The 23,444-nt window shown below is 48.2% G+C and overlaps 1 long non-coding RNA gene across 4 annotated transcripts, besides 3 other annotated features; it reads left to right on the forward strand.

Moving 5' to 3' along the window:
- Positions 64-433: a silencer, noted in NCBI's record as "silent region_1300". NCBI's record gives its function as "represses an Ori minimal core promoter by ATAC-STARR-seq in GM12878 lymphoblastoid cells {active_cell/tissue: GM12878}" and the evidence as "EXISTENCE:reporter gene assay evidence [ECO:0000049][PMID:35858748]".
- Positions 239-21,275, forward strand: FALEC (focally amplified lncRNA regulator of ECM1). 4 transcript variants are annotated; one of them, NR_186305.1, is made up of 6 exons: positions 239-549; positions 2,260-2,607; positions 5,820-5,892; positions 16,737-16,880; positions 17,144-17,273; positions 20,154-21,275. It is a non-coding gene; the product is annotated as a focally amplified lncRNA regulator of ECM1 (long non-coding RNA). The 4 variants fall into 4 exon arrangements; NR_186306.1 differs by lacking the exon at positions 2,260-2,607; NR_186307.1 differs by lacking the exons at positions 2,260-2,607; positions 5,820-5,892.
- Positions 17,217-18,207: an enhancer, noted in NCBI's record as "H3K27ac-H3K4me1 hESC enhancer chr1:150505206-150506196 (GRCh37/hg19 assembly coordinates)". NCBI's record gives its function as "activates a minimal SCP1, AML or CMV promoter by ChIP-STARR-seq in naive and primed H9 embryonic stem cells {active_cell/tissue: H9 hESC(naive and primed)}" and the evidence as "EXISTENCE:reporter gene assay evidence [ECO:0000049][PMID:30033119]".
- Positions 19,823-21,022: an enhancer, noted in NCBI's record as "CDK7 strongly-dependent group 2 enhancer chr1:150507812-150509011 (GRCh37/hg19 assembly coordinates)". NCBI's record gives its function as "activates an origin of replication core promoter dependent on BRD2, BRD4, P300/CBP, MED14 and CDK7 cofactors, with strong dependence on CDK7, by STARR-seq in HCT116 cells {active_cell/tissue: HCT116}" and the evidence as "EXISTENCE:reporter gene assay evidence [ECO:0000049][PMID:35650434]".
- Positions 21,276-23,444: the final 2,169 nt, after the last annotated feature.

Consider the following 23,444-nt stretch of genomic DNA (forward strand, 5'->3'; position numbering starts at 1 on the left):
ATTTATTTACTTAAGTATTTTTAGCCCAGTAGCAGTTTCCAGTCCAGCGGCTCCTCAGATCTTTCGCCGGCTGTCCGCCCCACCTGTCCGTCAGCACGCGAGCCAATGAGCGGGCGAGGGCAGCGCTGTGCCCCGCCCCTGAGCCGGCAGCCCAGTCTCGGGAGCCCGGGGCCGCCTGGGCCTCCTGCCCGCCGCGCTCGAGTCTGGAGCTCGAGAGTGACACTGCGCATGTGCGGGCGTCCTGCGCATCTCCTACGGCCTCCAGGACAGAGGAACCGGGGGAGGCAGGGGGAAAAGGCCGGCCCAGCAATTCCCCTACCCCCCGGTCCCACGTGTACCCTCCTGGCCTGGGTCGCCCCAGCCCACGGGGAGCGGGCGGAGTCCTGGCCCACGAAGCCTTGTCACCTGGCGGGCGAATCCGCAAGCGGAGACTTGTCTTTAAAGGGCTTTGGGCCGGGCGCGGTGGCTCATGCCTGGAATCCCAGCACTTTGGGAGGCCGAGGCGGTGGATCACGAGGTCAGGAGTTCAAGACCAGCCTGGCCAAGAAGGTGAAACCCCGTCTGTACTAAAAATACAAAAAAAAAAAAAAATTAGCAGGGCGTGGTGGCGGGCGCCTATAATCCCAGCTACTCGGGAGGCTGAGGCAGAGAATTGCTTGAACCCGGGAGGCGGAGGCTGCAGTAAGATCGCGCCACCGCACTCCAGCCTGGGCGAGAGAGGAGACTCTGTCTCAAAAAAAAAAAGGGAGCGGGGGGGCTTTGGTCTGTGCAGGAGCTTCCCGGAGATGCTTTAGAGCTGCGTTTGCAAAGTGCAGCGCCAAATGCTGCAGAGAGGTGGGAGTCAGAGGAGAGGAGGACTGCGGTCCCAAACCCTAGCAGTTTAGTCTGTCGGGGAGGAGAGGAAGGGAACCCGGAGAGCACTTGTAAGCTACAGTGCTGAATATGAGGAGGTACTGAATTGAGCATCAAATGCTGAGAGTTAAAGAATTCTCCCTAGGGACCAGCCAGCTATTATCTGGAAGCAGTGAGTTTGGATAGAGCCTGGAAGCACGGGTAGCATTGCTGTTAGCAATAAAAGGTGAACGTGTTAACATTCACTGCAATTCGTTGTATACACTATTAAAATATAACTTGCTCAATTCAGGGGCGGTGAGTAAAGTAAAGGAGTCAGAGCTCCTAATTATTGGAGAGGCCAGGGAAAGCTTCACAGAATTCAAGCTTGAGTAGGGTTTTGTTGAAAGGGAAGGATATACAAAGCATTGAATGTATGCAAAGTTCAGCTAAAGTAAACAGTCCTTTTTGTGTTAGGCAGAGTGCTAAAAGTACTCTGGCTATAACGAAGACTACAACACCACCTTCAGGGACTTTAGCGTCTGTGGAGACTTGAACATCTAATGTTAGAAATATTCTCAGAATTCTGAGACAGCCACCTAGCCTGGCCTTCAGGGAGATCTTCCAGGAAGAGGAAATAACACAGAAAGTGTGGTATATTTAAATATACCTAGCCAGGCGCGGTGGCTCACACCTGTAATCCCAGCACTTTGGGAGGTCGAGGCCAGTGGATCAACCGAGGTCAGGAGTTCGAGACCAGCCTGACCAACATGGTGAAAGCCGTCCCTACTAAAAATACAAAATTAGCCAGGCATGATGGCGCATGCCTCTAATCCCAGCTACTTGGGAGGCTGAGGCAGAAGAATTGCTTGAACCCAGGAGGCAGAGGTTGTAGTGAGCCAAGATTGTGCCATTGCACTCCAGCCTGGGTGACAGAGCCAGACTCCGTCTCAAAAAAAAAAAAAAAAAAAAGGTTGAGGGCATGGTGAGGGAGGGGACTTTTTTTAAAAGCTCTTCAGGAGATAGGGTTGAGAGAACCTGTTTGCTGGTGTCTAGGGTGACTACCAAGTTTGAGGCTGTGGTAACTAAGGTAAGTGTTACAGACTGAATGTTTGTGTACCCCCAAATGCATTTGTTGAAATCCTAGCCCCCAGTGTGATGGTATTAGGAGGTGGGGCCTTTGGGAGGTAATTAGGTCATGAGGGTGGAGCCCTCATAAATGGGATTAGTGCTCTTATAAAAGGGACCCCAGAGAGTTCTCTAGCTCTTCCTGCCCTGTGAGATACAAGAAGTTGGCAGGCTGCAACCTGGCAGAGGGCCCTCACCTGAGCCTGACCATGCTGGCACATGATCTAGGACTTCTAGCCTCCAGAACTGTGAGAAATACATTTCTGCTGTTTAACCCACCCTGTCTATGGTACTTCACAGCTCATACTGACTAAGGCAGCAGAACATACAGGAGGAAGAGGAGCAGGTTTCACAGAGGGAAGACATGAGTTCAATTTTGGACTTCTCAGTAGTCGGTGTCCTCAGTGGTAGCAACTTCAAACGGAAGGTGTCAAAAGTCAAATTCTGGAGAGTTGAGTATGAATGGGAGATGAAGAAAAGGAGGCAGCACTTGTAGCCTGCTCTTAATGTATTTCTGCACTCTACACTAGCAGCCTATTACACAGGACACTTGGATGTCTCCTAGATATCACAAATTCAGCTTCAAAAATGAATTCTTCTAGGTATATGGAAAGATGTGAAGAAGAAAATATAGCAATAAGTTAGGTGGTAGGTATATGGTTGTTTACTGTACAATCTGTCAGTTTTTCTGTATTTTTGAAATTTTTCATGATAAAATATTAAGAAAAAAGTAGTGGGCCCATCCTCTTTACCCTCCAACTATTCTTCTTCCCATGTGCCCTATTTCAATAAATAGAACAACTGTTTAGTCAGTTGTTTAGGCCAGAGAATATCAGAGTTGTTAGGCCTGGGAATATCATTCTTCAGTTTCTCTCCTTTTTCCTTGTAGTCTAATCAGTCGCCAAGTCTCTCTCTTTTTTTTTTTTTTTAAGATGGAGTTTCACTCTTGTTGCCCAGGCTGGAGTGCAATGGCGTGATCTCGGCTCACCGCAACCTGTGCCCCCTGGGTTCAAGTGATTCTCCTGCCTCAGTCTCCCAAGTAGCTGCAATTACAGTCATGCACTACCACGCCCGGTTCATTTTGCATTTTTTTAGTAGAGACATGGGGTTTCTCCATGTCGTTCAGGCTAGTCCCGAACTCCTGACCTCAGGTGATCCGCCTGCCTCAGCCTCCCAAAGTGCTGGGATTATAAGCGTGAGCCACCGTGCCCAGCAATAGAGTTACACCTTACACCAAAGTTAGGTTATAAGTCAGTACATAAGGCCAAAATTACATAGTTAACATAACCTTTGAAAATCCCTGGCCGGGCGCTGTGGCTCACGCCTGTAATCCGGGCACTTTGGGAGGCCGAGTTGGGCGGATCACCTGAGGTCAGGAGTTTGAGACCAGCCTGGCCAACATGGTGAAACCACGTCTCTACCAAAAATACAAAATTAGCTGGGTGTGGTGGCGTGCCTCTGTAGTCCCAGCTATTTGGGAGGCTGAGGCAGGAGAATCACTTGAACCCAGGAGGCAGAGGTTGCAGTGAGCTGAGATCATGCCATTGCACTCCAGCCTGGGCGACAAGAGTGAAACTCTGTCTCAACAAACAAACAAATTAATAATAAAAGTATGCAAAACATAAATGTATTATAGCTCAATGGATGGTTATAAAATGAACCTCCTGCAACAAATGCCTAAGTCAAGCCAAAGCATCCCAGAGGCCCCCACAGTGCTGCTTCCTGATGACGCCCTCCTCCCGTGCCCATGAAGGAATCCTGCTCCCTTGATATTTAGAGTTATCACTCAATCGCTTGTTAAAACTAGTTTACCCCTAAAAATGAACCCTAAAAGCAGTCATTTTGGATTTTGTAAACAGCTTTATTGGATATAATTCGCATACCATTAATTCACCCATGTAAAATGTACAATTCAATGGGTTTTGGTATATTACATTATTAATTTTTAAAAAGTATGGTAAAATAAATGTAAGGGCGGTGGCTCATGCCTGTAATCCCAACACTTTGGGAGACCGAGGTGGGCAGATCACCTGAGGTGGGGCGTTTGAGACCAGCCTGACCAACATGGAGAAACCCCATCTCTACTAAAAATACAAAATTAGGGCCAGGCACGGTGGCTCACGCCTGTAATCCCAGCACTTTGGGAGGCTGAGGTGGATGGATCATAAGGTCAGGAGTTCGAGACCAGCCTGGCCAAGATGGTGAAACCCCGTCTCTACTGAAAATACAAAAAAATTAGCCGGGCATGGTGGTGGGCGCCTGTAATCCCAGCTACTCGGGAGGCTGAGGCAGGAGAATCAGGAGAATCGCTTGAACCTGGGAGGCAGAAGTTGGAGTGAGCCGAGATTGTGCCTGGGCAACAAGAGCGAAACTCTGTCTCAAAAAATAATAATAAAATAGGCTGGCGCAGTGGCTCATGCCTGTAATCCCAGCACTTTGGGAGGCCGAGGCAGACGGATCACCTGAGGTCGGGAGTTCGAGACCAGCCTGACCATGGAGAAACCTCATCTCTACTAAAAATACAAAATTAGCCGGGTGTGGTGGTGCATGCCTGTATTCCCAGCTATTCAGGAGGCTGAGGCAGGAGAATCACTTGAATCCGGGAGGTGGAGGTTGTCATGAGCCAAGATCACACCATTGCATTCCAGCCTGGGCAACAAAAAGTGAAACTCCGTCTCAAAAATAAATAAATAAACAAATGTATGACAAAATTTGCCATTTTAACCATTTTTAAGTGTACAACTCAGTGGCATTAATTATATTCACAATATTGTACAACCGTCACCACTATCTATTCCAAAACTTTTCCATCACCCCAAACAGAAGCTCTGTAACCATTAAGCAATAACTGGCATCCCCCCTCCCTTTAGCCCCTGATAACTCCTAATATACTGTCTTTATGAATTTGCCTATTCTGGGTACCTCATATAATGTGCCTATAATATTTGTCCTTTTGCATCTGGCTTATTTCACTTAGCATAATGTTTTCAAGGCTCATCCATGTTACAGCATGTATCAGAACTTCATTCCCTTTTATGGCTGAATCATATTCCATTGTATGTGTATACATACAATGTGTGTATATGCCACATTTTGCTTATCCATTCATCTGTTGATGGACATTTGGGTCGTTTTCATCTTTCAACTATTGTGAATAATGCACAATTATTTCATTTTGCCAATTTTTGAACTTCATAAGAATGGAATCAGAATAATTACAACATATTTTTTGTGCATGTCTGACTTTTTAAATATGCATTCATGTTATTTTATATACCTGTAGTTCATTCATTTTCTTTTCTTTTCTTTTCTTTTTTTTTTTTTTTTTTTTTTTTTTTGAGACAGGGTTTTGCTCTTGTTGCCCAGGCTAGAGTGCAGTGGTGCAATCTTGGCTCAGCGCGATCTCAGCTCACTGCAACCTCCGCCTCCTGGGATTCTCCTGCTTCAGCCTCCCATGTAGTTGGGATTACAGGCGCCTGCCAATACGCCTGGCTAATTCTGTATTTTTAGCAGAGACAGGGTTTCTCCGTGTTGGTCAAGCTGGTCTCGAACTCCCGACCTCAGGTGATCTGCCTGTCTCAGCCTCTCAAAGTGCTGGGATTACAGGCGTGAGCCACCACGCCCGGCCTCATTTTCATATGGAATTCTATTTCAGAAATATGCCAATTTATCCATTCTACTGTTGATAGATACATGAATTGTTTCCAGTTTTAAGCTATTTCAAATATGCTATTATAAAAATGGTAGATATTGCATGAATTTCTGTCAGGTATACAGCTAGGAGTTAAATGGCTGGGTCAGAGTTTATTTGGCTTAACTAGAGAATGCCAAAGTGGTTGTACTAATTTTTCTTCCCACAGGCAGTGTATGAGAGTTCCACTTGTTCTACACCCTCTCCAATTCTTGAGGTTGTCAATGTGGTTAGCCATTCTGGTGAGTTTGTGGTGCAATGGTACCTCAGTATGGGTTTAACTTGCATTTCTGTGTTTATAAATGAGGTTAAACACCTTGTGATATGTCAATTGATCATTTGGATATCTTCTGTGAGATGCCTGCTCAAGTCCCTTGCCTATCTTCTGAAAGTGTTATTGTTTTATTTGCTCATTTAAGATTGGTAACCACCTGGAGTTGATTTTGACATTTACTGGGAGGTAGAGGGTCATGATTCATATTATTCCGTTTGGAGATTCAGTTATTCCAGCACCATGTGTTGAAAAGACTGTTATGACCCCTCTGCAGGCCATGTTTGTCATAAATCAAGTGTCCATATTTGCATGGGTCTATTTATGGACCTTCCATTCTACTATCTGTTCCTCCTTGCACAATACTGCACAGTTGGTAGCTTTATATTAAAGTTTGATATTTATAGGCCAAGCACTCCCTCCCAATTTGTTCTTCAGGAAAGTCTTGGCTATTGTTTAATGACTGGACACAAATTGTAGGAACAGTATATACAGATTCTTTAAGTAAGTCTTAAAAATGGAAAAGCCACCCAGGTGTGGTGGCCCACTCCCGTAATCCCAGCACTTTGGGAGTCCAAGGTGGGCAGATCACCTGAGGGCAGGAGTTCGAGATCAGCCTGGCCAACATGGTGAAACCCCGTCTCTACTAAAAATACAAAAAAATTAGCTGGGTGTGGTGGCCTGTGCCTGTAATCCCAGCTACTCTGGAGGTGGAAGCAGGAGAATCGCGTGCACCCAGGAGATGGAGGTTGCAGTGAGCCGAGATTACGCCACTGCACTCCAGCCTAGGTGACAGAGTGAGACTGTCTCAAAAAAAAAAAAAAAAGAAAGAAAGAAAAGCCATGTTGTAATCCTTTTCTGAACAGTCATTCCAGTGACTTTCCAGCTTAGAAGTTGGTAGTGGTTGGCCGGGAGTGGTGGCTCACGCCTGTAATCCCAGCACTTTGGGAGGCCAAGGCAGGAGGATCGCCCAAGGTCAGGAGTTCAAGACCAGCCTGGGCAACGTGGTGAAACCCTGTCTCTACTAAAAATACAAAAAGTAGCTGGGCATAGCGGTGCATGCCTGTAGTCCCAGCTACTCAGGAGGCTGAGGCAGGAGAATCGCTTGAACCCAGGAGGGGGTGGTTGCCATGAGCCAAGATGGCGCCACTGCACTCCAGCCTGGGCAGCAAAGTGAGACTCTGTCAAAAAAAAAAAAAAAACAAGAAGTTGGCAGCACTGTCCAACACAGTAGCCACCAGCCACTTGTGACTACTGAGCACTTGAAATGTGATTGGTCTGAATTGCAGTGTACTGTAAGTGTAAAATACACAATGGATTTCTACAATAAAGGATGCAAGATATCAATATTTTTCCTGTTGTTTACATGAAAACTTGGAGGTATACTGGATTAATGAACTCTCTCTCTCTCTCTCTCTATATATATATATACGTATATATACATATATATATACGTATATATATATATACATATATATACATATATATATACATATATATGTGTGTGTGTGTGTGTATATATATATATATATATATATATATATATATATTTTTTTTTTTTTTTTTTGAGACAGAGTCTTGCTCTGTCACCCAGGCTGGATGGAGTGCAGTGGCATGATTTTGGCTCACTGCAACCTCTGCCTCCCAGGTTCAAGCGATTCTCCTGCCTCAGCCTCCTGAGTAGCTGGGACTACAGGCATGCACCACCATGCCCGGCTAACTTAATTTTTATATTGTTAGTAGAGATGGGGTTTTGCATTGTTGACCAGGCTGGTCTCAAACTCCTGACCTCAAGTGATCCGCCCACCGCAGCCTCCCAAAGTGCTGGGATTACAGGTGTGAGCCACTGCGCCTGGCATATATTATTAAAATTAATTTCATCTGTCTCATTTTACTTTTTTAATGTTACTAAAATTTTTTTAAATTACATATGTGGCGACCAGGCGCGGTGGCTCATGCCTGTAATCCTAGCACTTTGGGAGGCCAAAGGCAGGAAGATCACCTGAGGTCAGGAGTTCGAGACCAGCCTGACCAACATGGTGAAACCCTGTCTCTACTAAAAATACAAAAATTAGCCATGCATGGTGTGCATGCCTGTAGTCCCAGCTACTCGGGAGGCTGAGGCAGGAGAATGGCGTGAACCCGGGAGGCAGAGGTTGTAGTGAGCCAAGATCATGCCACTGCACTCCAGCCTGGGTAACAGAGCGAGACTCCGTCAAAAAAAAAAAAAAAAAAATTACATGTGTGGCTTACATTGGTGACTGGAATTATATTTCTGCTGGACAGTGTAGTGGGCTGAATAATGGCCCCAAAGATTTCCAGGTCCTACTCCCTGGAAACCGTGAATTTTATTTTACAAGGCAGAAGGAACTTTGCAGATACAGCCAAGGGTATGGATCTTGAGATGGGAGCTTATCCAGAATTATCTGCGCAGACTCTAAATGGCATCACAAAGTAGGCAGAATGCGATTTGACAACAGAAGAGAAGGAATTTGACTGTGGAAGCAGAGATCAAGGTGATTGATGTGGGCAGCCACCATTAACAGGAAGAAACAAGCAAAAGAATCTTTCTCCCCCAGAGCCTCCGGAAGGAACCAGTCCTGATGACACTTTGACTTTAGCCCCATAAGACTCATTTTGGACATTTGGCCTCTGGAACTATAAGAGAATAAATGACTGTTGTTTTACGCTGCTAGATTTGTTTTTTAATTTTTTTATTTTTAATTTTTTTTAGAGGTGGTATCTCACTTTGCCACCTAGGCTGGAATGCAGTGGTGCGATTAGAGCTCACTGCAGCCTTGAACTCATGGCTTCAAGAGACACTCTCACCTTAGCCAACCAAAGCACTCGGATTACAGGTGTGGTGCACAGCTGTGCCTGGCCAAATTTCTTTAAATTTAAATATTATATACACCAGAGACTCAAAAAAATCTCAGGCTTCCACAGCATCATAAGTTATTAAGAATAACTAGACTACCTCTACAAAGATGTCAAAAAAAGTCACATCATCTTGACAGTGAAATCCAAAACCAGAGTATAGTTGAGTTTAAGACATAATTCTACTGAAAAACAACATGGGTGTATATGCAGAAAAGAATATCCAGAACTCATACCTCAATAATAAGACAAGTCAATCAAAAGATGGACAAAAGATTTGAATAGACATTTCATCTAAGAAGATATACAGACTGCTAATAAGCAATGAAAAAATGCTCAACATCTTTAGTGATTAGAGACATGCAAATTAGAACCACAAGAAGGTACCATTTTGCACCCACTAAAATGGCTATAATGAAAAAAAGCAACCAGGTACGCATGCCTGTAATCCCAGCTCTTTGGGAGGCCCAGGCAGGAGGATCACTTGAGGCCAGGAGTTTACAAGATTCTGTCTCTACAAAAAATAAAAATAAATTAGAGTGGTGTGGTGGTACTTGCCTGTAGTCCCAGCTACTCAGGAGACTGAACTGAGGGGATCTCTTGAGCCCAGGAGTTTGAGGGTACAGTGAGCCATGATCACACCACTGCACTCCAGCCTGAACAACAGAGTGAAACCCTGTCTTGAAAAAAAAAAAAAAAAAAAGGCCTGGTGCAGTGGCTCACGCCTGTAATTCCAGCACTGTGGGAGGCCGAGGCAGGCGGATCACGAGGTCAGGAGTTCGAGACCAGCCTGAACAACATGGTGAAACCCCATCTCTGCTAAAAATTAGCCAGGCATGGTGGCACGCATCTGTAATCCCAGCTACTCAGGAGGCTGAGGCAGGAGAATCGCTTGAACCCAGTAGGCGGAGCTTGCAGTGAGCTGAGATGGCACCATTGCACTCCAGTCTGGGCGACAGAGCAAGTGTCCGTCTCAAAAACAAAAAACAAAAAAACCCAAAACATTAGCCAGGTGTGGTGCCATGCACCTGTGGTCCCAGCTACTCTGGAGGCTGAGGTGGGAGGATCGCTTGAACCTGGTAGATCAAGGCTGCAGTCAGCCATGATTGCACCAGCCTGGGTCCCAGAGTGAGACCATGTCTTAAAAAACAAACAAACAAACAAACAAAAAGCATACAGTTCAACTGGAAAAAAAAAATCCAGTCTGCAACCACTGCCTTTTAAATGAAATATTTTGTCCATTTACACTTAAAACTTAAATCTGTTGGTTTTGGTTGGTCCCACCGTTCTATGTTTTATTTTTTTGTTTTCATAAAGATGGTGTTTTCCTCTGTCACCCAGACACGAATGCAGTGGTACAGTTACAGCTCATTTTGCCTAGCTTATTTAAGGCTAGTAACCACCTAGAGTTGATTTTACAACCTCAGATTGCTGGGCTCAAGTGATCCTCCTGCCTCAGGCTCCCGAGTAACTGGAACTACAGGCACACACCACCATACCTGGCTAATTTTGTAGAGACAGAGGTCTTGCTGTATTGCCCAGGCTGGTGTCAACTCCTGGCTTCAAGCAATTCTCCCATTTCGGCCTCCCAAAGTGCTGAGATTACAGGTGTCAGCAACCATGCCCAGCCATGTACGTTTTATGTAAATAGATTTATTCCATATGTGGTCTTTTTTGTTTGGTTTCTTTCACTCAGCATAATATTTTCAAGGTTCATTCATGTTCAGCATGCATCAGTACTTCATTCCTTTTTTAAAAAGTTTTTTTTTGGGCAGGTGCAGTGGCTCACGCCTGTAATCCCAGCACTTTGGGAGGCTGAGGCGGGCGGATCACGAGGTCAGGAGATCAAGACCACGGTGAAACCCCGTCTCTACTAAAAATATAAAAAATCAGCTGGGCGCGGTAGCGGGCACCTGTAGTCCCAGCTACTCAGGAGGCCAAGGCAGGAGAATGGTGTGAACTCGGGAGGCGGAGCTTGCAGTGAACCGAGATCATGCCACTGCACTCCAGCCTGGGTGACAGAGTGAAACTCCGTCTCAAAAAAAAAAAAAAAAAAAAGTTTTCTTTTGTAGAGACAGGGTCTCGCTATGTCGCCCAGGCTGGTCTCAAACTCCTGGGCTCAAGTGATCCACCCACCTCATCTTTCCAAGTTGCTGGGAGTACATGCTTGAGCTACTGCACACGGCGAGTATGTCGCTGTTATCTATTGAACCTAATGTTGTTTTTTTTGATTCTCCTGCCTCAGCCTCCCGAGTAGCAGGGACTACAGGCACATGCCACCATGCTCAGCTAATTTTTGTATTTTTATTTCTATTTTTATATATTTATTTTTATTTTTTTGAGGCGGAGTCTCACTCTGTCGCCCAGGTTGGAGTGCAGTGGCGCAATCCCGGCTCACTGCATGCTCCACCTCCTGGGTTCATGCCATTCTCCTGCCTCAGCCTCCCAAGTAGTTGGGACTACAGGCGCCCACCACCACGCCCGGCTAATTTTTTTGTATTTTTAGTAGAGATGGGGTTTCACCATGTTAGCCAGGATGGTCTCGATCTCCTGACCTCGTGATCCACCAGCCTCGGCCTCCCAAAGTGCTGAGATTACAGGTGTGAGCCACCACGCCTGGCCTATATATTTATTTATTTATTGAGACAGAGTCTTGCTCTGTCACCCAGGCTGGATTGCAGTGGTGCGATCTCGGCTTACTGCAACCTCCGCCTCCCGGGTTCAAGCAATTCTCCTGTCTCAGCCTCCCTCCCGAGAAGTTGGGACTACAGGCACCCACCACCACACCCAGCTAATTTTTTTTATTTTTAGTAGAGACGGGGTTTCACCATATTGGTCAGGCTGGTCTCGAACTCCTGACCTCAGGTGATCAGCCTGGCTCAGCCTCCCAATGTGCTGGGATTTCAGATGTGAGCCACCACGCCTGGCCTATTTTTATTTTTTATTTATTTACTTATTTATTTTTGAGATGGAGTCTTGATCTGTTGCCCAGGCTGGAGTGCAGTGGTATGATCTTGACTAACTGCAACCTCTGCCTCCCGGGTTCAAGCGAGTCTCCTGCCTCAGCCTCCCGAGTAGCTGGGATTACAGGTGCCCACCACCACGCCTGGCTAATTTGTGTATTTTTAGTAGAGATGAGATTTCACCCTGTTAGCCAGGCTGGTCTTAAGCTCCTGACCTCAGGTGATCTGCCCGCCTCAGCCTCCCAAAGTGATGGGATTACAGGTGTGGGCCACTGTGCCTGGCCAAAAACTTAAAAGCTTGAAAAACTCATTTTAAAAGCACCAGAGGCTGGGCATGGTGGCTGGTCTGGAACCTGGAATTTGAGACCCACCTGGCCAACATGGGGCCAATATGGCGAAACCCCACCTCTACTAAAAATACAAAAGTTAGCTGGGCGTGGTGGTGGGCACCTGTGATTCCAGCTACTCGGGAGGCTGAGGCAGGAGAATCGCTTGAACCCGAGAGGCGGAGGTTTCAGTGAGCCAAGATCGCACCACTCCACTCCAACCTGGGCGACGTAGCAAGGCTCCATCTCAAAAAATGTATAAGTAAATAAATAAATAAATAAAAGTTTTCATTGGTAGGAGGACTTGCTTGAATTATCTAGTCATATATATGCAGAATTGGTGGTCCCATTGACCCTCAAGTGAGGCATCCAATAGGCAGCAAATATTTTCAGGGAAGGTGGGGTCCTCGCTGTATTATGGAAGAAATCATGATTGGTCTAAGTCAATCATGGTAACCCTCTTCCTCTTCGCCTATCCGGGGTGGGCATATGACCCAGGTTTCACCAAAAAGACACAAGAGGAAGACTCCAGGGAACTTGTGGATGAATTTTTGTGCCCTTATAAAAGAGAGCTGTTGAGGAACCAGAGCCCTTTCTCTTTTTTTTTGCATTGGGATGATGTTATATAAGGAAGGCACAGTTGATTCTGTGGCAACATCTTATAACTGAGAGAGAAGTGAAGAAAATTGCAAAGATGTCAACTCCTGCTTCTTGATATTGTGAAGCCTCTTAAAAACTTTGGAACTTTTTGCTTCTGGGCTTCTTGAGGAAACAGTCAACATCCTTATGGTTTTGCTGTTAGTCAGGTTTTCTGTTATGTGTAGGCCAAAGCATTCCTAGCCGACATGTCATCCCTGAAGTCTCAGCTTTAAATGTCATTCCTCAGGGAGACCTTCCTGAAACCCCCAGATCAACACATTCTGTAACACTCCCCACTGTCCCTGAGTGGTCCTCATCACACTTGTAATTATTATTACTATTAATTTTTTTTTTTTTTTTGAGATGGAGTCTCACTCTGTCGCCCAGGCTGGAGTGCAGTGGTGCAATCTCGGTTCACTGCAAGCTCCGCCTCCCAGGTTCACGCCATTCTCCTGCCTCAGCCTCCCGAGTAGTAACTGGGACTACAGGTGCCCACCACCACGCCCAGCTAATTTTCTTTCGTATTTTTAGTACAGATGGGATTTCACCATGTTAGCCAGGATGGTCTCAATCTCCTGACCTCTTGATCCGTCTGCTTCGGCCTCCCAAAGTGCTGGGATTACAGGCGTGAGCCACTGCGCCTGGCACTTGTAATTATTAATATTTATTGAATGATGGTCTTTGTCTCAGGGCTATTTGCTCCACCAGAGCAGAGACTATGACAGGCATCCCAGAGCCTAGCCCAATGACAGGCACAGGAGCCACTAAATAAATAGCAAAAAAAAAAAAAAAAAAAAAAATCAAAGGATCTAGAGCACAGGTGGAGGGAGAAGCAGGATAAATCCGTGAAAGGTGTGAATTGAAATATGTGCAGCTGGGCTTCTGCTATCACATGGAAACTTTAAAGCTTAATGAATCATTAAAGAAGGGTTGGAATGACCATTGTGGGAACGGGGTGTGAGTGTTTATCTGGTACAGTAAGAGCTGCCAAGTAGTGTTAAAGGCCCAGCTGGGATTAGAAACCATACGTGTGCATTGGCAGAAACCAGCAGAATTAGAAGATTTCCTCCAGCAGCGTTCAGCCATCTGAGTGTGGGAGAGAAGCTGGGTAATTAGGTCAGCCCCAAAATGGGGGCTTGGTGGGCAGGCTGCTGCCTTTTGTTCCTTTCTCAGATGAAGTAAATGAAAATAGATGTGGAATTTTGTTTTCCTTGTCCCCAAAATGAAACCTTGTAGAACTCAAAGGCTTGCCCTTTGGCCCTAGACTGGAGCCAAAAAGGCTGAAGCATTTACCCCAAACGTCTTCCCCTATGGCCTGCTTGCCTAGCAGGGCCCATGGAAAGATTTGTGGGGATCTGTGATTTTTTTTTTTTTTTGAGGTGGAGTCTCGCTCTGTCACCCAGGCTGGAGTGCAGTGGCGCCATCTCGGCTCACTGCAAGCTCCGCCTCCCGGGTTCACGCCATTCTCCTGCCTCAGTCTCCCGAGTAGCTGGGACTACAGGCGCCTGCCACCACGCCCGGCTAATTTTTTGTATTTTTAGTAGAGACGGGGTTTTCCCATGTTGGCCAGGATGGTCTCGATCTCCTGACCTCATGATCCGCCCACCTCAGCCTCCCAAAGTGCTGGGATTACAGGGGTGAGCCACCGCGCCCAGCCTGTGAATTTCTTAAAGTATGCAAAATGCGGTGTGTCTGTGTGTGTGCATTTTTCTGGGGCGAGTATCTGTAGCTTACATCAAATTCTTTAAAGGGTGATCCAGAAAGACAAGAGCCCCTAACTTGGGTCAGCTCTTGGATCCACTGCTGTGGATCAGGGCCTGACTGATGGGCAGTTACATCCCTGCCTATTGACAAGGGGCAGTGTGGCACAGAGGTAGATGTGCAGGGGCCTGGACTGCACCACCTCAGGGAAGCTACTTAGCTCCTCAGTTTTCTCTTCTGTAAAATGGGAATGATAATCCCAGTTCCTTATTTCAGAGGGCTGTGAAGATTAAGTTAGATAATACATGCAAATGCTGAGGCCATGCTGGGTACTTAGTAACGGCTGGGTACTTACTAATAGGACGCACATTTAAGAACAAAGACTTTGAATCGGGAGGCAGCAGCTGGGGGAGCACAGTTACAGACAATTTTTTTGCTAAGCACAACATCTGATCATTCTCTCCCCTCTGATACTGTGTGGTCCCATGCAGGTTCCTTAATCACTGCCTCAGTTTCCTTATCTGTAAAATGGAGATGATAACAGTAACTGCCTCATGGTTTGCAGGGACTCTCTGAGGCCGGTGCTCACTAAGTGCTGGTTATTATTGCGATTTTTACTGCCCAGGGCCCAAATTCAGGCTCCTCATCTTGATAAGAAAGGCTCTTCCCACCAGGCCTTGCCCCGCACTGAAGCCGTCACAACCCAGCAGGCACCTTCACACTGTCTCCAGTGTCCAGTGGCTCTACGGGCCGAAGCACTGAGCACAGAAGAGAGCGAGTGACCAAACGGAGGCCCGCAACACCCGCGCCCTTCCTCAGAGTATTCCCTTCCAAGAGTGCCCTCGCCCTTCCCTTCCCAATTTCCATCTATAGATATCCAGCTTTTGGTTCAAAGCGGAACTCCAGAAACCACACTGTCCATAACGCCTTCCTAATTCCTCTCATCAGAAGCCCCTGTTCTGAGCCAGTCATGTGGCATATGCAGTTCTCAGGAACAACACACCTCAGTTCCCTAACTGCACTGCAGCCTCTGGGGACAGGCCTGGCCCCATCCTGTTCTTTTTACCACATCTGTCACCATCTTTGCACAGAGAATACCTTTGGTAGAGAGCTCTTGAACAAAGGAAATGAAATACTCAATGATTCCACTATTCCAAGGCATTCACACATCTAAGGGAAGGGAGAAAGAATCCCCAAATGACTGATCTGTACACTAAGAAACTGATTATACAAATGAACAATGGCCAGACCATATATTAAAATACAACTCTAGGCTGGGCACAGTGGCTCATGCCTGTAATCCCAGCACTTTGGGAGGCCGAGGTGGGCGGATCATCCGAGGTCGGGAGTTAGAGACCAGCCTGACCAACATGGAGAAATCCCGTCTCTACTAAAAATATAAAATTAGCCTGTAATCCCAGCTACTCTGGAGGCTGAGGCAGGAGAATTGCTTGAACCTGGGAGGCGGAGGTTGCCGTGAGCCGGGATCTCGCCACTGCACTCCAGCCTGGGCAACAAGAGCAAAACTCCATCTCAAGAAAAAAAAAAATACAACTCTCACCCACAGCCTGCGGTCACTTGCTGGGGAAACTAACTCATTATCTGCAACAATTAACCTGGGAGGTCTTCCTGCTCTAAATCAGGCCTGCAAGAAGCCAGATTGCTATCTCTAGTGACAATCCAGGAAGCTAAACAATAACCAATAATGTCTGTAACAATCAGCCCCAAATGGCCAGAATTTGATTAGTAACTGACAGTTTCCTTAATTTTGTCCTCACTTTAGGACCAACCAGGGAAAGCCAAAAATGCACCCCTAACCAAGCACACAGGATGCCCTGCTTCTAGTTAGCCCATGCACGGGCAGCTTCCCCACACCAACAGCCTCCAATCAGGGCACACCTGAAGCCTTCACTTTCCTCAGCTATAAAGGTGTCCCACTCCTCTGCCTGCCTTCGAAGCTCCGTCAAAATGCAAGTGCAGATGGCTGACACCCTTGCTCTGTCGCCCAGGCTGGAGTGCAGTGGCACGATCTTGGCTCACTGCAAGCTCCGCCTCCCGGGTTCACGCCATTCTCCTGCCTCTCAGCCTCCCGAGTAGCTGGGACTACAGGTGCCCACCACCACGCCCAGCTAATTTTTTTGTATTTTTAGTAGAGACAGGGTTTCACCATGTTAGCCAGGATGGTCTTGATCTCCTGACCTCCTGATCCACCTGCCTCGGCCTCCCAAAGTGCTGGGATTACAGGCATGAGCCACCGCACCCGGCCAGCCTTTGCTTTTTTAAAGTTGGTTTTCCTTTATTTCCACAAGACCCAGGAACGAAAGCGCAGGGAGCAGAGGCTGGACCGTCCTCTGTCAGTTCCCTCGTTCCCCTGGAGTGGAGCTCTGAGCCCTGGGACCACAGAGTTGGCTGTTACACTGGAAACACTGATCAGACCTTTGGACTCAGCTGAGGTAAGGCTGGAGAAGCCAATTGACTCAGATGAAATACCCCAGGCATAAAATCACAAAAGAGTTTTTGTTAGATGCTGGTTGGGAGGGAGTGGCTCCAGAGATCTGGGAAAAGAGCAGGCCGGCCGGCAATAGAGACATGAGGGAAAGGCAGGAACTTTGCCTAGAATGGGGGCCAGGGGTTGCCAGCACCCGCCTTGGTGGGACAGAGAATTGAGTCAAGATTCTTATCTCACCTCCACTATGATCCTTTTTTCATTCCACAGATATTCACTGAGTGCATAGTGTGTGCGCCAGGCCCTGTTCTGGGAGATGACAGGCAAGGCCACTGACTTCGTGGAGCTCGCCCCCTAACGGTGAAGACAAACAGTGACTGACTAAGGAAAAAAAAAAAAGGTAATTTCAGAAGTGGCAAGTGCCCTGAGCAAAATAAACTAAGATGGTGCAACAGAGAAAAAGGGTGCTGGGGGGTGGGGACACATGCCCCTTTCTAATGCTGCTTCTTGGAGGAAGGTATCTGTGCTGACACCCTAGCAGCCAGGAGCCAGCAGTGCAACTAGAGAGGAAGAGCTTTTCCAGGCATGGGGAACAGCTTCGGCAAAGACCCTGAGGTGGCCCAGGATTGACATGTCCAATAAAGAACAGAGAGGCCAGTGTGGCCAGAGTAGCAGTAATAGCGTTGGGATGAGGCCAGGGAGGAGGCTCACGCCTGGCCAGGCATGAAGGGCCTTCTTGGCCATGTCAAGAGTTTAGATTTCATTTTATTCAAAAAGGCACTGAATGGCTAGCCTGCCTCAGCCGTTTTTTCAGGGCCTTAGAAGAGCTGCTTTGCCAAGCTCCTGTCAGGATTGCAGCAGAGGGCACCCGTGGGTGTTGAGGGACGGCCTTGAGGGGATGGAGTATAGATCAGCCTCACTGCTGTAAGCCACAACTGAACCCCTTGCTGAGTAGGGCAAGATGGGCCACATCGAGTGTGGAAACTCCGAAACTCTATGCTAAATGTTTTTTGTGTATACCTATCTTAGGAAGAGAACCAGAGCTTTTTTTTTTTTTTTTTTTTTTTGAGATGGAGTCTCACTCTGTTGCCCAGGCTGGAGTGCAGTGGTGCAATCTCTGCTCACTGCAACCTCCGCCTCCCAGGTTCAAGTGATTCTCCTACCTTAGCCTCTTGAGTAGCTGGGACTACAGGTGGTGTGCCACAACACCCGGCTAATTTTTGTATTTTTAGTAGAGATGAGGTTTCGCCATGTTGGCCAGGCTGGTCTCAAACTCCTGACCTCAGGTGATCCACCAGCCTCATCTTCCCAAAGTGTTGGGATTACAGGCATGAGCCACCGTGCCCAGCCTGTTTTTTTCAGATTCTAACTCCTAAGCACTAAGAACCCAGAGCTTTTATCAGCCTCTCAGCAGAGTCTCTGTGACCAAAAAAGATAGAAAAAGGTGAATAATGACACCTGTGCTTCCATATGCATGGGGTATTTTAATAAGGATGTTCAGATGTGGCCTTGGAGGAGGAGAGAGGGAGGCTGGAAGAAGGAGACGTGTCGTGGATCCTGTGTGTGCTTTACCTGTTTTTAAAATCTGGCGTAAAGGACTAACACTGTGGACAAGGATGGCGTGGGGAGAAAGGTGCTGAAGTCTCGGCATGGCAGGAACCTGCAGGGAGGCCCTTCCCATCCTTAACTCAGCCTTCTGGGCCAGGGTGGGGCAGTGACAAACCCAGGGTCAGATCCTAACCCAGGTGGCCCCACCCCACCCCTAACCTGTGCTCACATGCCTCAACTCTGAGGAGCTGGTCCTGGAGAGGTGGGGTGCAGGAGGGCGGCACCTCCCCTGAGCCCAAGGAGGCTGCAGCTGCCCTGCAGGTGTGGGCTGCACTGCTCTGCAAGAGACTCCCTGGAGAGGGATGCCCTTTGTCCAGGCCACTGAAGCCGCTGTCGTCCTCTGAGCATGCCCCAAGCTCTTCTGAGCCCCGCACCTTCATAGAAAGAGGCACCTGGCTGGCCCCAACAGGATCGCTTTGCTCAGACCTGAGTTCTTATGAAGGGTTCAGTCCCAAAGTCTTGGTTGGTCATTTTGCTTTCAGTCAAAGTTCACCTCACTATGCCTGGTATCTGTGCCCCCCCAGCCCCCACTCAGGAGATGGAGGCTGAGATAGAAATGTGCTCTCTAGCCTGGCACAGTGGCTCAAGCCTGTAATCCCAGCACTTTGGGAGGCCAAGGTGGGCGGATCATGAGGTCAGGAAATCGAGACCATCCTGGCCAACATGGTGAAACCCCGTCTGTACTAAAAATACAAAAATTTGCTGGGTGTGGTGGCGCGTGGCTGTAATCCCAGCTACTCAGGAGGCTGAGGCAGGAGAATCGCTTGAACCAGGGAGTTGGAGGTTGCAGTGAGCTGAGATCATGCCACTGCACTCCAGCCTGGCAACAGAGCAAGACTCTGTCTCAAAAAAAAAAAAAAAAAAATGTCCTCTCTAACTCTCTCCAGAATCTTGGCTGGAATTGACTTTGCCTCCCCACAAATAGGCTCTGGCCTGGCCTTCAGGACCCACCTGTTCTCAGCAATCAGCCAGCCCCTCCTGGTGTTCAGATCCCCAGTAATCTGGGTCCACGAGCCGGGGAACAGAGTTGACTGGTGATGACAGGTCCCTGGCAGGATGCAAAGCGGCTGAGGGCCTCCTGGGCCAGCACTTGGGTAAACCAAAGTGCTGCTCTCCTCTGCTTGAGAACAATTGGGACTGTTGCATAGCTTCCTCCTGAGGCCTTCGAAATGGCTTCCTCTGAGGGATAAGAGCACAGTCACCCAAACTTGTGTTGACAAACAGTATTTTTATGCCAAATCTTCTAACTTGATTTTTTTTTCTTTTTGAGACCGAGTCTCACTCTGTTATCCAGGCTGGAGTGCGGTGGCGCAATCTCAGCTCACTGCAACCTCCGCCTCCCAGGTTCAAGCAATTCTCCTGCCTCAGCCTCCCAAGTAGCTGGGATTACAGGCGCCCGCCACCACGCCTGGCTAATTTTTGTATTTTTAGTGGAGACAGAGTTTCACCATGTTGGTCAGGCTGATCTCGAACTCGTGAGCTCATGCGATTTGCCAGCCTTGGCCTCCCAAATTGCTGGGATTACACGCGTGAGCCACCGCGCCCAGGCTCAAATCTTCTAACTCTAAATTAAATAGTAATACAAATAGCCAATATGTGTGTGGGACTTATGGTGGGCCAGGCACTGTTCAGTTACGGGCTTTATGTGCATCTTTTCATTTAAACTCCACAGAACCCTGACGCTTGGCATGGTCCATGGCCCCCTCCACACAGCCAGTTGGCCAGGGAGCCGAGGCAGCCTGTAAACGCTCTGCCTGGAGCTGCTCGTAAACAAAAACAGAGTGATCCACAAAAGGGCCCCAGAGTCTGGCACTGAATGGAATCCTACCTTCGGTCCAGCAACTGGAGAACGAAAGTCCACATCCTGATGACTGGTTCTGCACCTGGGGCTTAGAGCACATAGCAAGGGGCTGAGAAGCAGCCACCACATAATCAGTGACTGCAATTTCATCACACAGTCCTCCATGCCAGGCCCTGTGGGGAAACCAAGATATGTAAGGCAAGCCCTGCTCTTCGGAATTTCTAATCTCAGTACTGAAAAGTTAATAACATAAGGACGCAGCCTATCTGTGGTAACACCATGGCATGAGCTGTGTGGATTCCAAGTGCTGAATGAAGCTGGAAGGGCAGAGGTCACATCGGGCCAGTATGTGCTTCTTGGAAGAGGTGGCATTTGAGTCACTTGAAGAATGAGCAGGAGATGAGGGATGGGAAGGAGAAGGCATTCCTGGGATGCCATGAGCAAAGTGTCACAGTTTTGCATTGATCACTGTCATCCATGTAAGAGCAAGGACAGCTCAGGCAGGTGGTGGCCATAGAATGGAGGTGGACACATAAATATGTGGAGAAAGAAGGAAGTCTTTGGGTTAAAAGGCCAAGACTTGACACCTGTGAGGACCTGGAATCTAACCCTGTGTTTGTCTGTAAACCCAAGGCAAGTCACCCTTCTTCCGAGGCACAGTTTCTTCACCTGTAAAATGAAGGGACTGGGCAAGACGGTTTCTAAAGTTCCTAGGGCCAGGTGCAGTGGCTCACGCCTATCTTCACAATACTTTGGGAGGCTGATGCAGAAGGATCACTGGAGCTCCCTCAAGACCAGCCTGGGGAACACAGGAAGAACCTTGTCTCTACAAAAAATTAAAAATATTAGCTGGACATGGTGGCAGGACCTGTGGTTCCAGCTACTCAGGAGGCTGAGTGGGGAGGATATTTTGAACCTGGGAGGTCGAGGCTGCAGTGAGCTGTGATCACACCACTGCACTTCAGCCTGGGCAATAAATAAATAAACAAGTAACAAAGTTCCTTACTACTTTAGAATCAGGGTAGAAAGGAGTGAAGATGACTTTAGGATTTTGAAGAACAGGCCCAGCAGCAGGAGGTGAGGAGTCTGGAGAACAGCAGATCTGGGGAGAGGCCTTCAGCTTTAGATAAAATGCGTGGACCCCTTCACGACTCTTCCTTCTGCTGGGGTCCTCCAGCGCTGCCACAGGCTGACCCGTTCTCAGACTTGCATGGGACGTGTGTTGCCTCCCTACGTCTCTCCCTGAGATGTGAGCCTGGCTACATCAAGGCCAGAGCAATGAGAGGCAGTGGCCCTTGCCCCAGCTTTTCCCCAATGAGGAAGCACCATCATCACCAACACCATCTTGCCACGATAGCACTGGAGAGCCTGCAGGTGAAGGTGGGGATCCCCTAAATTCACAATTAAGTTCCTTTACCCCAGGGAAATGGGCACTGGAAACAGAAACAGGCTGTTATTGAGAAATCAATTAACATATGGTCCCTGCATACTTCTGTTTGAGGGCCCCAATTAGCTCATACCTGGTTCACAGGCAAACTTTCCAACAAACGGGGCAGATCTCATACTGGGTGTGTATAAGAGCCCCTGTGGAGGCTGGGCACAGTGACTCACAACTGTAATCCCAGCACTTTGGGAGGCCAAGGCGGGAGGATCGCTTGAGCCCAGGAGATCCAGGCTGCAGTGAGCTGAGGTCATGCCACCGCACTCCAGCCTGGGTGACAGACACCCTGTCCCAAAAAATAAAGAAGAACCCCTGTGGAGCTCATGAACAGGACCACCCAGAGGAGGGGACCAGGCACCTTTATTTTCATAACCTCCCAGGCAATTGTTAGGCACACTAAAGTGAGAGACTCTTTGGGGAGGATAGAGCTGCCCAGAGGGTTTGGGCTGGGAGAGCGGTGGGGCAGGGGCCCTCCCAAGAGGCAACAGGCTCCTCAGAGTGAGACTGAGCTGTCTCTCCACAGAGGGCAGGGGAGGGAGGGTGGCCCTGGGCAGAGGGGCTGAAGCTGGAGAGGCAGTGGAGGCCGGAGGGCACAGGCTTTGCGGCTGAGCAAGGGGCCAGGGCCAGATCCTGAAGCTGACGGGACAGGGGGCGCTGTGAGCAGGGACGGGAGGCCTTTCTGAGGCAGGAAAATCACTTGAACCCAGGAGGCGGAGGTTGCAGTGAGCTGAGATCATGCCACCACACTCCAGCCTGGGCAACAGAGCGAGACTCCATCTCAAAAAAAAAAAAACAAAACAAAAAGCAGATACACACCTTCCCGTCCACCCTTTGTCCACTGAGATGAGCTGGGCCTGTGGTGGGAGGGGTGAGCACCTCCTGCCTCAACTTGCATTTCCTTCCCAGCAGGCCCGGGCTCTCCTGCCTCTGACTTCAAGTCCTTGGTACGTATGAAATTCCTGCCTCTCCTCTGGCCGCCCTGCCTGCCTCCCTGGCTGCAGTTACAGTTTTGTCCCTTGTTCCTACCCTTTTATGTCTGCCTTTCTCAGGCCTTCAGCCCAATGTGTCAAGATTAATTTGATACCAAATTGGCTTTCTCTGGAAATTCAAGGAAAACTTCTAGGCACAAGAACAAGATTCCTTTGGGGAAAATGCTCATGGCCCCTTCCTCAAGGCAGTCCTGGGGTTGGATCCTTGACCCGACCCAGGCCGGGATAGCACCCTGGAGGGGGAGGCCCTGTCTGGAGGGAAACAGCTCGCTCAGGGTCTTGCACCCGCCCGCCCCACCTCCAACCCTGTGCCCTGCTCTTGACAGAGAGAGACAGGCCCTCCTCAAAGTATGACTAGGGCCCTTCTCACCCCCAGAGCTCACCTCTCTGTAAGGCTCTGCTCTGCTGGAAAAAAATTCTTCATTTACTTTTGGACTGGGGCGACAGATTGCAATTTGGGGCCATCATGGTTGGATGTTTATGTTCTCGGAGGAGCCTCTTTGGGGAAGGAAACTGGGTTTCTCTCACCTTCCTTATTTGAGACAAAATGTACTATTTCTTGCTCTTAATTCAGCATCTACAATTGTCCTGGGAATTGGGTGCAGTGCCATGGGGTCAGGACAGTAGTGTGATTCCAGACTCCAGAACAAAACAATAGGATGCTCTGTTTTCTCAAAATGCCTTGAGTCCTCAGGCCTGGCCCCCCAACCACTAGGCAGCGCCTATCCTTCC

The sequence above is a fragment of the Homo sapiens genome, chromosome 1 (genome assembly GCF_000001405.40).
Source record: "Homo sapiens chromosome 1, GRCh38.p14 Primary Assembly".
In the NCBI taxonomy this organism is placed as follows: Eukaryota; Metazoa; Chordata; class Mammalia; order Primates; family Hominidae; genus Homo; species Homo sapiens.